This window comes from Homo sapiens, chromosome 4 (genome assembly GCF_000001405.40).
Source record: "Homo sapiens chromosome 4, GRCh38.p14 Primary Assembly".
Taxonomy (NCBI): domain Eukaryota; kingdom Metazoa; phylum Chordata; class Mammalia; order Primates; family Hominidae; genus Homo; species Homo sapiens.
Genome location: NC_000004.12, coordinates 2,557,165 through 2,571,511, shown reverse-complemented (window position 1 = coordinate 2,571,511; position 14,347 = coordinate 2,557,165). Strand labels below are relative to the sequence as shown.

At 45.1% G+C, this 14,347-nt stretch overlaps 1 protein-coding gene across 7 annotated transcripts in view, besides 1 other annotated feature; it reads right to left on the bottom strand.

Annotated features, from left to right (window-relative positions):
* Nucleotides 1–14,347, bottom strand: part of FAM193A (family with sequence similarity 193 member A) — a 197,199-nt gene that overhangs the window by 161,062 nt on the left and 21,790 nt on the right. The window lies entirely within an intron of this gene.
* Nucleotides 10,962–11,500: an enhancer, noted in NCBI's record as "H3K27ac-H3K4me1 hESC enhancer chr4:2561739-2562277 (GRCh37/hg19 assembly coordinates)". NCBI's record gives its function as "activates a minimal SCP1, AML or CMV promoter by ChIP-STARR-seq in naive H9 embryonic stem cells {active_cell/tissue: H9 hESC(naive)}" and the evidence as "EXISTENCE:reporter gene assay evidence [ECO:0000049][PMID:30033119]".

The window sequence follows — 14,347 nt, the reverse complement described above, 5'->3', positions numbered from 1 at the left end:
CAAAACCCTTTTCCACAAAGACATCTTTAAATAAAATAGGACTTCTACCTCAGAAGCCATTCACTTCCAAAACCCTAGTACAAATCTAAATTTTTTATACATAACCAAACAGAAGTTCACTGTGCCAACAAGTACCAGTCTCCGAGCTGCTGGCAAGGTGGTGCCACATCTGCCTGGTACTCTAGAACCTGCCCTCTCCTCCAGGGCTCAGAATGGATAATTAATCCATGGGGTACAGGGCAGCCTGTACAATACAGCTGTTCTCTTCAGGACCCACAACAAGGCCTGTCATAAAAACATAATTTGGTCCACTTACGGGAAATGTGAACTAAAGACAAAGCAACACTGCCAGTAATACATCATTGGAAGCTGCCAGGAGGAAGGGCTGGGGCCGCGGAGGGAGTCACTAAAGAGCAGAGCCTATGGGTAAGGTGACAAGGCAGGAAAGAGGCTCTGCGAAGTCCCCCATAGGGAGAGAGCCACAGCACAGACAGCTGCCCACACCCCCACCCACTCCGTAAGCGAAACTGAGTGTGTGAACCCTGAATACAACAGGCAGAGGTAGGGGAGGAAGTGTACGGCAGAAGAGAAATAGGCCCTGTGTGTTCGGTACTCAAAGTGCTTGACTTACTACCCAGGATACATGACCACCTGAGTAAGGCCCATCTGTGAGTGAGACTTGCAGTAAATACGCATTCTCCTAAATCACAAAAGCTCCCAGGCCGGGGAGTGGGGCCTGAAAACTAGCCTAGCCCTGATCTGAGGAGGAGCTCACCAAGGCCTGTACCCATGGGGTAACTGGTCCCCCTACAGAGACACTGTCTCCTAAACTGCCCACAGCCTTGCACCTAGACATGGCAAGGCTTATTTCCTGTGTCACTATGATGGGGAGAAATGAGTTCCCATTATTCCAGTCAAGAGAGCAGGCTAGAGGGCCCTTTACTGCTGTGTCCTATAACGAAAGATGTGGCATGACCTCTGCAAGGAGGGTAACAGTTCATGGAACCTTGGGAAAAGTTAAAGATATATGGAGGAAAAAAACATAAGGAGATTTGGTTTATTTCAGTATCTCCTGAGCCATGTCACCAAAGCTCACTGCAGCGATTTAGAGTTGCTTCTTTAGCACAGAATGACTCTCTGAACTTAGATTCAGAGTTAGGGTTACCAAATCCACAGTAACTCATAGAATGTACTGCTTTCTTACAAACAGAAGATATCTGAACACACTGAATTCAACCCTGCAGGGAGACATAAGGGTACCATGATTTGTTCAAGGAAGTACAGATTCAAACCGGCCCAATGAGTTTAACTAATGGCATGTGGAGACTACGAACATTCACTACTGTCCAGAATCCCGGATTCTGAAGTACTTTTGGGCTATTTAGCAGTTCAGTCACAATTTCAGAAGATACCCAAAAGTGAAGAAAAGTCATACTCTCAGTTTCTGTAACTTATTAGATGTGAAAACCTCCAGATGTATTTGACTTATCCAGCATCTGACCCTAACAGTGTGGTTCAAACTTCAAGAGCATCTGAATGAGACGAAATCAAATTATGGTCCCCCTCAACAATTTGCCATCCTAAAATTCTAGAGATAAATATATAAATCCCAGAACAATCTAAAAATCTGTAACTTTGTGACCAAATTCCAGGTAATACTGGAGTCCAACCAATTATGAAAACTTATTTTATTTTAATGGAATTAGCAGCTGGGTGCAGTGGATTACAATCATAATTCTAACACTTTGGGAGGCCGAGGCAGGAGGATCACTTGAGCCCAGGAGTTCAAGACCAGCCTGGGCAACACAGCAAGACCAGCTTTTAAAAATTTTTTAAAGTTTTAAAAATTAACCGGGTGTGGTGGTGCATGCCTGTGGTCCCAGCTACTCGGGAGGCAGAGGCAGGAGGATAGCTTGAGCCTGGGAGATTGAGGCTGCAGTGAGTCATGATCGGCCACTGCACTCCGGACCGGGTGACGGAGAAGACCCTGTCTCAAAAAGAATTTGTTTTAATAATAATAAAAATGGCAAATAGCACCAAACTCACATCTGCACAACTGTGCTTAAATATGACAATAAAATAAATAGGATTCGATAAACTACCTTTGGGCTGCTTTTGTATTACTGCTAAATAAAATCCAATTTTTGGAAGGTTATATTCCACCACTGTTAGCAACAGAGTTTCCATGACACTTTCTCAACCCCTCACGTGGGTTTCCGATCAGCTGGCTCTACACAAGAATCTGGACCGGGCGCAGTGGCTCATGCCTGTAATCCCAGCACTTTGGGAGGCCAGGGTGGATTACCTGAGCTCACGAGTTCGAGATCAGCCTGGCCAACATGGCAAAACCACATCTCTACTAATATACAAAAAAATTACCCAGGTGCGGTGATGCACACCTGTAGTCCCAGTTACTCAGGAGGCTGAGGCAGGAGAATCGCTTGAACCCAGGAGGCAGAGGTTGCAGTGAGCCGAGATCATACCATTACACTCCAGCCTGGGCAACAGAGCAAGATCAAAAAAAAAAAAAAAAAAAAAGCAAAACAACAACAACAAAAGAAATCTGAATGAGTAACCACACTAGTGTTAAACATCCAGAATGATCTAAAGTCTTTATCCTGTACCTTCTGAGGTTCCATGCCAAAGGAAAAGGAAAAGAACAATCTTAACAGAATCCTTCTATAATCTAGAATCAGAAGTAACTAAATTTCTAATCAACTGTGTTGTACACAAAAAGCCACATTCAAGCAATCGTTACTAAGATTTATTATTCTCCAAATAATCACTCCTCCTTTTTCACTGGAATGCTTCTCGTTTTTTCCCTTTATACTTTGGTCACTACACCTGGTAACAACACACACCTCACTGTGGGGAATGCTGGCTTAGAATGTACATTTGAAAATCAGACGAAATTGGCTGGCCTCTGTCTAAATTCACATGGCAGAAAACTTCTACAGACCCAAATATGATGTTAAAATTATTTATTTATTTTTACAGACAGGGTCTTGCTGCTGCCCAGGCTGAAGTGCAATGACACAATCACAGCTCACTGTAGCCTGCAACTCCTGGGCTCAGGTGATCCTCCCTCCTCAGCCTCCTGAGCAGCTGGTACTACAGGTGTGCACCACCATGTCCAGCCACTGACATTAACATTTTTAGACAATTTTTTAAAATCCCTAATTCTGTATCTTACTTGATTCAGTCAAGAAACACTTACTGGCTATGAACAACGTACTAGGCCTTAAAATTGTTCTGCATTCAATAAACTTCCAATCTTTTTGAAAAAAAATTTTACAAGCCCACAGCTAACATCATATTTTTTAAAATATCCAATCTCATAAAATATAATCAATGTATAGGTAAAACAAAGGTGTAAAGTATCACTAGAGAAGTTGCTGCTGTGGTTGGAAGGTAAGTGGAATAGAAAAGGCGGCATCAAGCCAGCTCTGAAGGATTCTCAGAGGCAGAACCAGGAGGAAGGGGTGGGAAATGGAGACGAGAAGTAGTAGATAACAGGCTTCTGAAGGGCGAAGGCAGAAGCCATGACCCCAACAGGAAAACAGGACGTGCTGGAGGGCAACAGCCACACCCCTGCAGAGGCACAGGGTAATGGAAGAAAGGAGGAAGGGACCCACCTGGAGAGATGATTGAGGTGCCCAAGAAGTCCCTGTTCAGTCACTAGCAGACTTCATCGGCAGGGACACCTGGCCAGTAAGGCCTGAGCACACATATCCTGAGTCTACACAACCGTGCCTGTTCATCTGGGCATGGCACAAGGTGCACGGCTTTTGAGATCACCCTGTAACTCCTACTGGTAACGCAGAAGGCACTCTGCAGCAGTTAATGAATGTAATTTATGTTCATTAAAAAAATACACAAAATATAAAAACATACAATGAGATGAAAATAAAATCATCTTCTCACATACTTTTTAATAACAACACAAAACTTGTTGTGTCACCAAAAATCATGACAAAAAAACTTATGGAGATCAATATGATTGTACCTCATTATTTTAAAAATCTTGGTTGAATACTTTGTGTTAAAACCAGATCTTAGGAGTACTCTAAATTCAATTATTTAGAGAGTCAGTTTTACTGGCAGTCTTTGCTGAAAAAGGTCCCACTCAAAGATACATATAGCGAAGTAGAAGTATATCATTGGCTGCACTTGCTAAATTATGAAAACTGGTTTTCAATCTCATCAATCAATTATGCAAGGTTTCTGTTGAAATTCAGCTAGTCAGGCCGGGCGTGGTGGCTCAGGCCGGGCGTGGTGGCTCACGCCTGTAATCCCAGCACTTTGGGAGGCAAAGGCGGGTGGATCACGAGGTCAGGAGATCGAGACCATCCTGGCTAACAAGGTGCAACTCCGTCTCTACTAAAAATACAAAAAAAAAAAAAAATGAGCCGGGCATGGTGGCGGGCGCCTGTAGTCCCGGCTACTCGGGAGGCTGAGGCAGGAGAATGGCGTGAACCTGGGAGGCGGAGCTTGCAGTGAGCCGAGATTGTGCCACTGCATTCCAGCCTGGGCGACAGAGCGAGACTCCGTCTCAAAAAAAAAAAAAAAGAAAAAGAAATTCAGCTAGTCAATTTACATCTTCTTCATCAGAGTTCCTTGTTCTTACATAGTAATCAGAAGGTATCACATTTTTGTATTTTTAATAAGTTCAAGACACTATTGTTACAAAAGGAAGCTTTTAAACAAGCTGCAAAATTTCATTTCCAAGTTTAAGTGTGCAGTAAAATGACTATTTACATTATTCTTAGCAAATATACACACACACACAATGGAGACAATTCTAAACATCCATTTTCTTTTTTTGAGACAGAGTCTCACTCTGTCCCCCAGGCTGGAATGCAGTGGTGTGATCTTGGCTCACTGCAACCTCGCCTCCCAGGTTCAAGTGATTCTCCTGCCTCAGCCTCCCGAGTAGCTGGGGACTACAGGCGCACACCACCACGTCCAGCTAATTTTTGTTTTTAGTAGAGACAGGGTTTCACCATGTTGGCCAGGCTGGTCTCAAACTTCTGACTTCAAGTGATCCGTCCGCCTCATCCTCACAAAGCGTTGGGATTACAGGTGTGAGCCACCGCAACTGGCCTAAACGTCCATTTACAAAACGCTCATCACAGCAACCTTCTATCAAAAAGCAATTTTCCATTGGCCAGGCGCGGTGGCTCACGCCTATAATCCCAGCACTTTGGGAGGCCAAGGTGGGCAGATCACGAGGTCAGAAGATCGAGACCATGCTGGCTAACACGGTGAAACCCCATCTCTACTAAAAATACAAAAAATTAGCCGGGCGAGGTGGCGGGCGCCTGTAGTCCCAGCTACTCGTCAGGTTGAGGCAGCAGAATGGCGTGAACCCAGAAGGCAGAGCTTGCAGTCAGCCAAGATTGTGCCACTGCACTCCAGTCTGGGCGACAGAGCGAGACTCCGTCTCAAAAAAAAAAAAAAGCAATTTTCCACTCATTGTTAAAATGTCACCTTTACCTTGAGGGGACAGATTACGTGTTTCTTTTTCTCAAAAATACTGGATTTGCTAGATAGCTTTCTACTGACAGCCACTTATTACAGCAAAGGTTTGTAAATTTAGACCACTTACCTTTATGTAAAAGAAAAACATTCAATTCACCTTCAGAATAGGCAATGCTTTTACCTTTGCCAAAAGATAGCCAGCAAACCCCTGTGTCTTGCCAAGTACTTTCAGTTACTCCCCCGTCATTACAAAATATTGTGAAGATGTACTACTCTATAAAGGTCTCAGGCTGACCCATTAGTGCTTCTGGCTTCAACTGGTTGCTGTAAGCAGTTCCCTATGCATCATGTGGTGAACCCATTTCTCATGTTACTCTTTCTGCAATCCTGCCCTACCCAAGAATCTCTTTCTACCTTTGTTTCTTACCTGACGGACTACATGAATTTTTTTTTTTTATTACAAAGTGGCTACTCTGGCTGAGCACGGTGGCTCACGCCTGTAATCCCAGCACTCTGGGAGGCTGAGGCAGGTAGATCACGAAGTCCAGAGATCGAGAACATCCTGGCCAACACGGTGAAAACTTGTCTCTATTAAAAATACAAAAATTAGCCGGGTGGTGGTGGACGCCTGTAGTCCCAGCTACTCCGGAGGCTGAAGCAGGAGAATTGCTTGAACCTGGGAGGCAGAGGATGTAGTAAACTGAAATCGCACCACTGCACTCCAGCCTGGCGACAGAGGGAGACTGCATCTTTTAAAAAAAAAAAAAAAAAAAAAAGGCTACTCTATCATTGTGTATATCCAGTTTTCCCACAAAACCTTGTTTACTAATGAAATCATTTCAGAATCCACAAGCTTGCGTCTCATCAAAAGAGTACTCAACTGGAATCTATCAAAAAAAAACAGGCTAACACCTATAAAAATACCCACGTAGCCAGGTGCAGTGGCTCACTCCTATACTCCCCCAGTACTTTGGGAGGCCATGGTGGGAGGATAACTTGAGGCCAGGAGTTCAAGACCAGCCTGGGTAACACAGCAAGACCCCTGGCTCTGCAATTTCTTTTTAATTAACCAGGCATGGTGGCATGTGACTGTAGTCTCAGCTACTCTGGGGCAGGATGATCTCTTGAGCCCAGGAGTTCAGGCTGCAATGAGCAACGGATGGTGCCACTGCCCTCCAACCTGGGCGACAAGAGTGAGTCCCTATCTCAAAAATAAAAAACAAGAACAAAAAAAACCACAAGTGTTTCCATCATCCCAGAGCAAACCCCCACACCATCATTTATTCTAACCATTTACTCTTCCAAATCTCCTGGAATTGATTCTATGAATACTCCAAAAATATTTGCTGACAAAATAATATATTTCTTTTGTTGCCATATTGTTTCCTATGTATTATTTCTGCCATTCTGCTCACTCCCCCACCCCCTATTGGAAAAATAGCACTTTTTCCAGTACAAAAAAGTTCGAAAATACTTTTCCCAAATAGTAGGTGGCTATTTTGTCTCCAATATTAGATACTTGTGGCAGAGGTGCAGACTGGCTCCTCCACCTCCACAGCTGAATGCTGTCCTTTTGTGATGGAAGTCATTCATGGAAGCCCAGACAAGAGCCTTTTCCACTAGACCTTTCAAAAAGTTACATGCTCCTGGCCAGGGGTGGTGGCTCACACCTGTAATCCCAGCACTTGGTGAGGCCAAGGCAGGAGAATTACTCGACCCCAGGAGTTTGAGACCAGCCTGGGCAACAAAGTGAGACCCCGTCTCTACAAAAAATAAAAAAAAAATTAGCCAGGTTGGTAGAGGTGCCTATGGTCCCACCTACTCAGGAGGCTGAGATGAAAGAATCACTTGAGCCTGGGTGGTTGAGGCTGCAGTGAGCCATGATCACGCCACTGCACTCCAGCACCTAGACAACACCCTGTCTCAAAAAATAAACAAATATAATAAATAATTTTAAATGCCATATGCTACTAATTCTCCGTATTAAATGCCTGCCTATGAAAACTACAGCTGCTTCTGCATCTGAACCCTAAGCAATACAGAAATAAAAGTAAGAAAACTCAAAAAGGAGTTTCTCTGAGCTTAATACAATTTTATAAAATACTAGATTGTGTAGTGCATGACTTTAAATACAGCTGAAAATTTATAGGTGATGTTTCTCTTATGAATGCTTAAAATATTTTGGTGAATGTGAAGGCTCTATATACTTTCCTTCCCTAACATCTCAAGGCAAGATAAACACTTCAGGCATGGCTTGTCATTAATAAAAGTGGATGTAAATCCAGATTTCAAATAATCTTTGAGGGTTGATTCCCAGTTCTGCTGAGATCATTTTTTTAAACTTCATACATGGCCAATGAAGAGCTTGCACAGAAAGTGGAAGTGTTGGTTCTGCCATAAATGTCCTTGTTGTTCCACACACACTATTAGCATTATCTCTGATCCAGAGTTTCTTTGAAGACTACTTGTTTTGGTTTTGGGAGGTTTTTTTTTTTGTTTTTTTTTGTAGAGATGACCAGATTGGTCTTGAACTCCCGACCTCAAGCAATCCTCCCACCTCGGCCTCCCAAAAGTACTGGGATTATAGGTGGGAGCCACCATGCCCAGTCTCTGTTTTTGTGAAGACCAGTTTAATTAAAATTAGCAGAACTCAAGAATGTACTGACTGAGTGCTCATTAAATGCCAAGGCTTCCACAGCTGTGTCATGCATACAAATTCCTGAATTGGAAGTGTCTCTCTTGCCTCAGAACAGATTAAGACTCACCCATGACTGAAATGCAGATCAAAGGCCAGGCGCAGTGGCTCACGCCTGTAATCCCAGCACTTTGGGAGGCAGAGGCAGGCGGATCACGAGGTCAGGAGTTCAAGACCAGCCTGGCCAACATGGTGAAACCTCATCTCTACTAAAAATACAAAAATTAGCTGGGCATGGTGGCAGGCGCCTGTAATCCCAGTTACTTGGGAGGCTGAGGCAAGATAATCGCTTGAATCTGGGAGGCAGAGGTTGCAGTGAGCTAAGATTGCACCACTGCACTCCAGCCTGGGCGAGAGAGCAAGACTCCGTCTCAAAAAAACAAAAAAAAGAAAGAAAGAAATGCAAATCGCCAGGTGTGGTGGCTCACGCCTGTAATCCCAGCACTTTGGAAGGCCAAGGCGAGCAGATCATGAGGTCAGGAGTTCCAGACCATCCTGGCCAACAAGGTGAAACCCTGTCTCTACTAAAAATACAAAAATTAGCTGGGCATGGTGGTGGACGCCTGTAATCCCAGCTACTGGGAAGGATGAGGCACGAGAATCGCTTGAACCCGGGAGGCGGAGGTTGCGGTGAGCCAAGATCTCACCATTGCACTCCAGCCTGGCAACAGAGCAAGACTCCGTCTAAAAAAAAAAAAACAAAAAAAGGAAATGCAGATCAAGTTGGGGGGTGGGTGCCACTTTTGTAAAGTTCAATGCCTTATTTAGAAATATAAGTAGTAATGTGTTTTTCCTACAGCCTAAGGGATCATCACTCCTTACATCCTAGAGTTTCTGAGACTCTTGAAAGGGGTGAAGAGCAGTCGTCGAAATTTTAAATGATCTTAAAGGCAGGGTCTCGCTTTGCCACCATGCTGTAGTGCAGTGGTGCCATCAGCTCACTGCAGTGTTTAACTCCGAAGCTCAAGCGATCCTTCTGCCTCAGTCTCCTGGGTAGCTAGGACTACAGGCACGCACCACCGCAGCCAGCTGATTTTTTCTATATTTTTTGTAGAGACGAGGGTCTCCCTATGTTGCCCAGGCTTGTCTCAAGCTCCTGGGCTCAAGCAATCCTCCTGCCTCAACCTCCCAAAGTGCTGCGATTATAGGGATGAACCACTACACCTGGCCTAGTCACTGAAATCTTTTGACCGAAAGAGTGACAATTACAATTATCATAAAGTTATAAAAGGCCTTCGAGATTATCTAACACAATCTTCTTACCTGACAGATGTGGAAACTGTGTCCAGTGCACAACCACATACAGATGACCTGAGATCTTTAGACAAAACTCCTTTTGATAAGTTACTTAGCAAACAAACCAATAATACCTAAGCACTATTTTGTAATATGGGAAGAAGAGTTTGATCTAAACATACACAAGTTGAGTTCACAAGCCACAGCTATGGGGGGAAAAGGCCTCAAACAACATTCTAATAAATATCCACAATGTTAGAGGGTTACTGATAACCCATTTGAGTTTCTGTCATCAGAAATCTCAGCCGGGTACGGTGGCTCACGCCTGTAATCCCAGCACTTTGGGAGGCCGAGGCAGGCAGATCACTTGAGATCAGGAGTTCGAGACCAGCCTGGCCAACACGGTGAAACCCCGTCTGTACTAAACATACAAAAATTAGCCAGGTATGGTGACAAGCAGCTGTAATCCCAGCTACTCGGCAGGCTGAGGCAGGAGAATCACCTGAACCTGGGAGACAGTGGTTGCAGTGAGCCGAGATTGCGCCACTGCACTCCAGCCTGGGCGACAAAGTGAGACTCGGTCTCAAAAAAAAAAAAAAAAAGAAATCTCTACAAGCAGCCAGGCATGGTGGCTCATGCCTGTAATCCCAGCACTTTGGGAGATCAAGGCGGGCCCATCACTTAAGGGCAGGAGTTTGAGAGCAGCCTGGCCAACATGGTGAAACTCTGTCTCTACCAAAAAATATAAAAATTAGCCGGGCATGGTTGTACGCACCTGTACTCCCAGCTACTCAGGAGGCTGACATGGGAGAACTGCCTGGAACCCGGAAGGCAGAGGCTGCAGTGAACTGAGACTGCGCCACTGCACTCCAGCCTGGGCAACAGAGCGAGATCCTGTTCAAAAAAGAAAAAAGAAATCTCTACCAGCATATATGCCTAACATATTAAGTGTGAACTTGAGAGGAAGAACTCAACATAGAATAACCTACAGCAAGGTGTTGTAAGGACATAAAAGTTCACCAAAGCCTGGAGAGTAAGCAAAGCAAGAGTCAGGAGGAGAACTACAATGGCATGGTGCCATGCACAGGAAGGCAAAGAAAGTTCTAGAAAGGTGGATATCACAGTCATGTGCCAAAAGCTCAAAGGGAGCCAGGTGCAGCAGCTCATGCCTGTAATCCCAGTACTTTGGGAGGCTGAGGCAGGTGAGGTGAATCACTTGAGCCCAGGAGTTCGAGACCAGCCTGAGAAACATGGTGAGCTCCTGCCTCCACAAAAACTAAAAATAAAAACACTGAGGAAGAGGAAGGGAAGAAAGACACAATCTGAATACAAAGGAAAATAACCCAACAGAAGTGGAAAGATTCAAGACACAGGAGAGAAACGACAAAGCTGTTTTGCAGAAGCCTCAAGATAACGTACTACACATAAATTCTGCACTGAGTTTCCATGAATTAACAGACTCATTAAAAACCATCAGTTAACAACCCCTGGAGCACGCAGTTAACTTTGGAAAAATGGATAGATGCTTTCTTCCAAATCAAAAGACAAAAGACGTCCCAAAGAAAGGTGAAGAGGGAAGAAATGCAGAAGCTCACATCAAATGGCCTGGCTCCCTGAGCAATGTTTCTGCCTATGTACTATGTGCCAAGCAGGCCACAGCGCAGTTTAGATGTTCCAATCCAGTCTAAGTGGTGTGGCCGAGCCAGGACAGGCACCACAGGAACTCAGAAGGGAAGGTACAGCCTGGCCTCGGACGGTGAAGAAATGCTTCCCATGGGGACAGCGCATGGTCTCCATCTCAGAAAGGGGCGAATCAGGCAAAGACAGAAGAACTCACTGGAAAGAAAAGCCTGCACAGGCCAGGCGCGGTGGCTCACACCTGTAATCCCAACACTTTGGGAGGCCGAGGCGGGTGGATCACCTGAGGTCGGGAGTTTGAGACCAGCCTGGCCAGCATGGCGAAACCCCATCTCTACTAAACATACAAAAGATTAGCTGGGTGTGGTGGCAGGCACCTGTAATCCCAGCTACTCGGCAGGCTTGAACCAGGGAGACAGAGCTTGCAGTGAGCCAAGATCGCACCACTGCACTCCAGCCTGGGCAACAAGAGTGAAACTCCATCTCAAAAAAAAAAGGAAAAAAGAAAAGAAAAGAAAAGCGTGCACAAAGGCGCAGAGGCAAGAAAAACCCGGCCCGATCAGGCCACGCAGGCCGCACTACACAAGCAGGTCAGGATCACCGCAGCACCCAACAGGCACCGCAACAGCAGTGGAACAGCAAGGCAAAAGGAAGCGAACGGCAAGGACGCTCAGCTGTCCGTGCAGCCGGAGTCTGGCAGGAACAAGAGAGGGGCCGTCAAAGAAAGCTCAAGACGTCCTGGTGCTCACGTACAAAGGCAGGTGGAAGACATCCAGAGGGAGGAGGAAGCAGCAGAGTGTGTTCACAGAGAAGAGAAAATGCAGTAGACTACGGCGAGAGTAAGGAAGACCAGACTAGCAGGACAGGGCTGGGCAAAGTGGCTCACGCCTGTAATCCCAGCACTTTGGGAGACCAAGGTGGGAGGATTGCTTGAGCCCAGGAAGTCAAGTTGACAATGAGCTATAATTGTGCCACTACACTCCAGACTGGGTGACAGAGCAAGACCCTGTCTCTGAAATAAATAAAAATTTAAAAAGAATAGCAAGGTGGTTTCTTTATCTCAGTTGGTACTGAGAAGTGACAAAAGCCACAGAAATTGAAAGGTATGTGAGGGGACACCGACTACAACAATTAGAGGAATTTTTCAAACTCAAGTCTTCGGGCCTCAGTTTCCTCAGCTAACAAATACTGTCTTGGCAATAAACAGGGGCTCTGTCGTTGTCCCCTCCAGTTCTGAAGTTCTATGCATCTATGATTTGACCATCTTAGCATTCCCAGTGGAATACAGGTGTGGACATCTGTAAATGTACAAACACACAAAGAACAGTTCAATTCAGTTTGTGCAGCGGTATTTAATTGAAATCATTGATCCAAACCCTCCCATTATTCTTTTAAAGGAAGGAAAAATATTAACAATAGCTATAGCCGTCTTCCTATGCTGTTCTTGTTTCTGTTTTTGTTTGAGATGGAGTCTCACTGTGTCACCCAGGCTGGAGTGCAGTGGCACGATCACAGTTCATGCAACTTCCACCCTCTGGGTTCAAGCAATTCTCCTGCCTTAGCCTCCTGAGTAGCTGGAATTACAGGTACATGCCACCATGAACAGCTAACTTTTGTATTTTTAGTAGAGACGGGGTTTCACCATGTTGGCCAGGCTGGTCTCGAACCTCTGCCCTCAAGTGATCTGTCCACCTCGGCCTCACGAAGTGCTGGGATTACAGGCGTGAGCCACTGCACCCAGCCTGATTTTGTGTGCTTTTAAAGACAGAAACAGCTAGGTACAGTGGCTCCCGCCTGTGATCCCAGTCATCCCAAATACCCAGGAGGCTAAGGCAGGAGGATTGCTTGAGGCCAACAGTTTGAGACCAGTCTAGGCAACATACAAGATCTCATCCCCCCCAGAAAAATTTTGATTAGCTGGGTGTGGTGGCCCGTGCCTGTAGTCCCAGGTACTTGAAAGCCTGACGTGGGAGGATCTCTTGAGCCTAGGAGTTGGAGGCTGCAGTGAGCTATGACGGCGGAATTGCACTCCAGCCTGGGCAATAGGGACTGTACTCTAACTAGTAACTCGTAGACAATGTTTGCCTTGGTGGGCTACTTTCACCTAAGTGAAATAATTACCAAGTATTTTTAGGAAAAGTAATTAGATTGTAGTACACTATTTTTTTCTTTCCTTTTTTTTTTTTTTCATTTGAGATGCAGTCTCGCTCTGTCAAACACGATGAAATACAGTAGCACGATCTAGGCTCACTGCAACCTCCTCCCCGGTTCAAGCGATTCTCCTGCTTCAGCCTTCCCAGTAGCTAAGATTACAGGCATGCGCCACCACACTCAGCTAACTTTCATATTTTAGTAGAGACGGGGTTTCACCGTGTTGGCCAGACTGGTCTTGAACTCCTGGCCTCAACTGATCCACCCACCTCGGCCTCCCAAAGTGCTGGGATTACAGGCATGAGCCATAGCGCCCAGCCTTGTAGTACACTATTAAATGGTTAACTTTTTTTTTTTTTGAGACGGAGTCTCACTCTGTCACCCAGGCTGGAGTGCAGTGGCACGTTCTTGGCTCACTGCAACTTCTGCCTCCTGGGTTCAAGCGATTCTTCTGCCTCAGCCTCCCGAGTAGCTGGGACTACAGGCGTGCACCACCACACCTGGCTAATTTTTTGTATTTTTAGTAGAGACAGTGTTTCACCATGTTAGCCAGGATGGTCTTGATCTCCTGACCTCATGATCCGTCCATCCCAGCCTCCCAAAGTGCTGAGATTACAGGCGTGAGCCACCGTGCCCAGCCAAAAGTTAACCATTTTACTGAATTTTAGCATGAGCATGAAATTACTACCATACTATAAATCTGAATATTAATTAGCTTCTCAGGAATCCTTTGAAGAAAATAAAAAGCTTCACCATTTCATAGGTGAGAAAACTAAAAAGAATGAAAATTCTGGGCTGCTAAATGCACTGTGGTGTACTGGATTAGATCCTGGAACAGAAACAGGACATTTTAAAAATCCAAATAATCTGTAGTTAATAATGTTGTACCAATGCTAATTTCTTAGTTTTGACAAATATACCAAGGTTCGCTAGAATATCCATATTAGGGAGAGCTGGCTGAAGAGAATGCACAAACTCCAGGCTCAATAGTATGCCCTCATCGCCCTCATCCACAGCTGCACTTCTCAGTGGTTTGAGTTACCTGTGATCAACTGTGGTTCAAAAACAGGTGAGCACAGTATAATAAGATATTCTGAGAGAGAGATACCACATTCACATAACTTTTATTACAATGTATTGTGATAA